The sequence below is a fragment of the Homo sapiens genome, chromosome 10 (genome assembly GCF_000001405.40).
Source record: "Homo sapiens chromosome 10, GRCh38.p14 Primary Assembly".
In the NCBI taxonomy this organism is placed as follows: Eukaryota; Metazoa; Chordata; class Mammalia; order Primates; family Hominidae; genus Homo; species Homo sapiens.
Window position 1 is genome coordinate 11,795,325 of NC_000010.11, and position 3,704 is coordinate 11,799,028.

Sequence of the window (3,704 nt, forward strand, 5' to 3'; positions counted from 1 at the left end):
CAGTAAAATGCTCAGTCTCTCAGCTTCCAAGGCAGATCACTCATCTAGTCATGAAATCAGATTAAACTTGGCAGAGAACTCCCTCCCACACACGCACCCCACACACGCACCCACACGTGCACCCACACACACGTGCACCCACACACACACACGCACCACAGACGCACTCACAGATGCACCCACACACACACCCACACACGCACCCACACACCCACACGCGCACCCACACACCCACACATGCACCCACACGCGCACCCACACGTGCCCTCACAGGCGCACCCACATGCTCACCCACACACGCACACCCACACACACACATACGCACCCACACACGCACACTCACGCACACACATACACGCACAAATATGTGCACACATAGGCACCCACGTACGTGCCCACATACGCACACACATATGTACATGCACAGGCACCCACATAAGCATACACAGACGCACACATATGTACTCAACAGATCACACCAAACTGAAGTTCAGTGATGAGTGTAGGTGGGATCAGGCCATGACTGAGAGTTGCTCAAGGGTATTTCAGGGAAATAATTTGGTACTCAGGTGATGGGCTCCTATCCATCTCTACCATGGCTCAGTGAACTGAAGAAAAGAGCCTGAGGCCAGGCAAGGTGGCCCACACCTGTAATCTCAATCATTTGGGAGGCTGAGGGGGTAGGATCACTTGAGCCCAGGAGTTTGAGACCAGCCTGGGCAACATAGCAAGAGCCCATCTCTGCAAAAAAATTAGCCGGGTGTGGTGGCATGCCTCTGGTTCCACCTACTGGGGAGGCCAAGGCAGGAGGATTGCTTGAGCCCAGGAGTTGGAGGTTTCAGTGAGCTATGATCTTACCACTGCAATCCAGCCTGGGCAACAGAATGAGACACTGTATCCAAAAAAAAAAAAAAAAAAAAAGAGGCTGAACTTCAAAACTAGTTTGAATGTTTGGAATTAAGTTATTTAACAGCCCTAACCACCACCATTGTGACTGTACCAGCACACAGGGATGGGGGAGAGCCCACCTCGGTCCCCTGGAGGCTCCTTCATCCCAGGAGTTTGTGTTAAATGTATGGCTGGCCCACCACTGACCCCACCAAGAGCACATCCTCAGACTCCCAGAGCTGTGGGTTCCTCCCACTTGTTTCCTACTGAGTCCTCTATTTTACTGTCAACACTGTGCCCCAAATCAATGTGCCCCCTTCAGCAGCAAAGTTGATATTTTTTTCCGGTCAGCCCCTTGCTAATAAAACCATTGCCAGAACTGGGGAAGAGGGAGGGGCTAGGAACAGAGCAGAGCAAAGGCTGCAGACTCCTGCTGCCGCTGTCTGAAGCTCAAGCTTGTTTTCATGAGTAAATGCTTCTCAATTTCTTTTCTGCTTCTGGCCAGTCTCCAAAACTCTGAAATGGTTGTTTTTGACTTTTTTTTTTTTTTTCCAATTTGATCCTAGTCTTTTTGGGGAAGGGGGAAGGACTTGCCAACATTTTCATGCCTCCATAGCTGGATATTTGGCTGCTAAAGGAGTTTTTTTTTTTTTAATTTTAGGGTGGAGAGGTCTGACGCTGTCACCCAGGCTGGAGTGCAGTGGCATGATCATAGCTCACTGCAGCCTCAACCTCCGGGGCTCAAGTGATCCTCCCACCTCAGCCTCCAGAGTAGCTGGGACTACAGACATGCACTACCATGCCCAGCTAATTTTTTTTAAAAAATCTGTAGACACGGGGTCTCACTATGTTGCCCAAGCTGGTCTGGAACTCCAGGGCTTAAGCGATCCTCCTTCCTTGGCCTCCCAAAGCACTGGGGTCACAGGCGTGAGCCACTGCACCTGGTGGGCTTTCTACATTTTTTAATGTGATGAGTCACGAACTTCCCAGTTTTCCACTGCTTCCACCACCCCTCTGGCCCTACCCTTGTCTTGTGTCTTTAATGTACGTTACTTGCCCGGCCCTGGAAGGCTTTTGAGCTTATGAACCGTGGCCCACAGGAGCGGCACCGGGACATTGTCTTAAAACTGTACTGCAATTTGTAATTAGCGATAATCCTTCCACGAACATCCACCATTCTCCAAGGCCTTTGTGCTAGATCCCCGCAGAGAGAAAAGCATAGAAGATCCTTGTCTTCAAGGCCTCTGAAATCCTGGGGGAAATGAGGGGCGGGAACACATAGCCATAACTGAGTGCAATGCCTGCAGCATGTGATTGGCACAAATGTGTTCTCTGTGGGTGGGGAAGGATGAGATTCCTCCAGTGAATACATACAGACCCTGCGAATGGTTTGGAAGGTTCTTTTCCAACTACTAAACATGAGTTAGGTACTTAAACACTTGGAATGAAATCGCTTCCGTTAGAGAAAATAAATAGGTGCATCCTACAAAAGAGAATTTGAGGTACGGAATGTTCTGGAGGGCTAGACGGCATCTTGTTGGTTGAAGGTAGAGAGTGAAAGGAATACTGGATGGAGAACCCAAAGACGTGGGGTTTGGTCCTAGCACTGCCACTATGATGCTATGTGACTTTGGGCAGACCATCTACCATCCTGAGAAATCAGTTTTTGCATCTGTACAATAAGGAAGAGGTGAGGCCAAGTATAGTGGCTCATTCCTGTAATCCCAGCACTTTGGGAGGTCCAGGTGGGAGGACAACTTTGACCCCTATGATTTCATCTCCACCCCAGCCAATCAGCAGCAAGGCCTAGCCACTCCCACCCCTTCCCCCAAACTGCCTGTGCTCTCAAGAGCAAACACAGAAAAAGAGACCACAGGGAGCTTTGGATTGTAGGATTCGGCTCTGCTAGCAGGCTTCTCATTCTTTTTAGAACAGTTGGAGGAAGAAAAGTGAATGTTTGGATTAAAAACTAGACCTAGGGCTGAGCATGGTAGCTCACGCCTGTAATCGCAGCACTTTGGGAGGCCGAAGCAGGAGGATCACTTGACCCTAGGAGTTCGAGACTGGACTGAGCCACATATCAAGAACCTGCCTCTATAAAAAATACAAAATTTAAAAAGTAGTCGGGTGGTGCTGGTGCATGCCTATAGTCCCAGCTACTCGGGAGGGTGACGTAGGGGGATCACTTGAGCTCAGGAGTTCAAGGCTGCAGTAAGCCAAGATTGCGCCACTGCACTCCAGCCTGGACAACAAAGCAAGACACTGTCTCAAACAAAACAAAACAAAACAAAAAAACTAGACCTACAAATGTGTTTTAGAAAACAAAAATGAGCTGGGCACAGTGGCTCATACCTGTAATCCCAGCATTTTGGGAGGCCGAGGCGGACGGATCACTTGAGAACAGGAGTTTGAGACCAGCCTAGCCAACATGGTGAAACCCATCTCTACTAAAAATACAAAAAATTAGCCGGGCGTGGTGGTGGGAGCCTGTAATCCCAGCTACTTGGGAGGCTGAGGCAGGAGAATCACTTGAATCTGGGAGACGGAGGTTGCAGTGAGCTGAGATCACGCCACTGCACTCCAGCCTGGGTGGCAGAGCAAGACTCTGTCTCAAAAACTAAAAGAAAACAAAATGGTTCCACACTAAGAAAGGCTGACTAGAAAACAAGAAAATGTCACTCCTAACAGAATCCCAGGCCCAAAGAAGGAATGGCAGATTAAAGGCATTCATATTTATCATAGCCAAAGAAGGAAAAACTGCAGGAAATGATTAACAAGGCTGCAAGACCAATTATAACCAAAGACAGGAAGCTGAA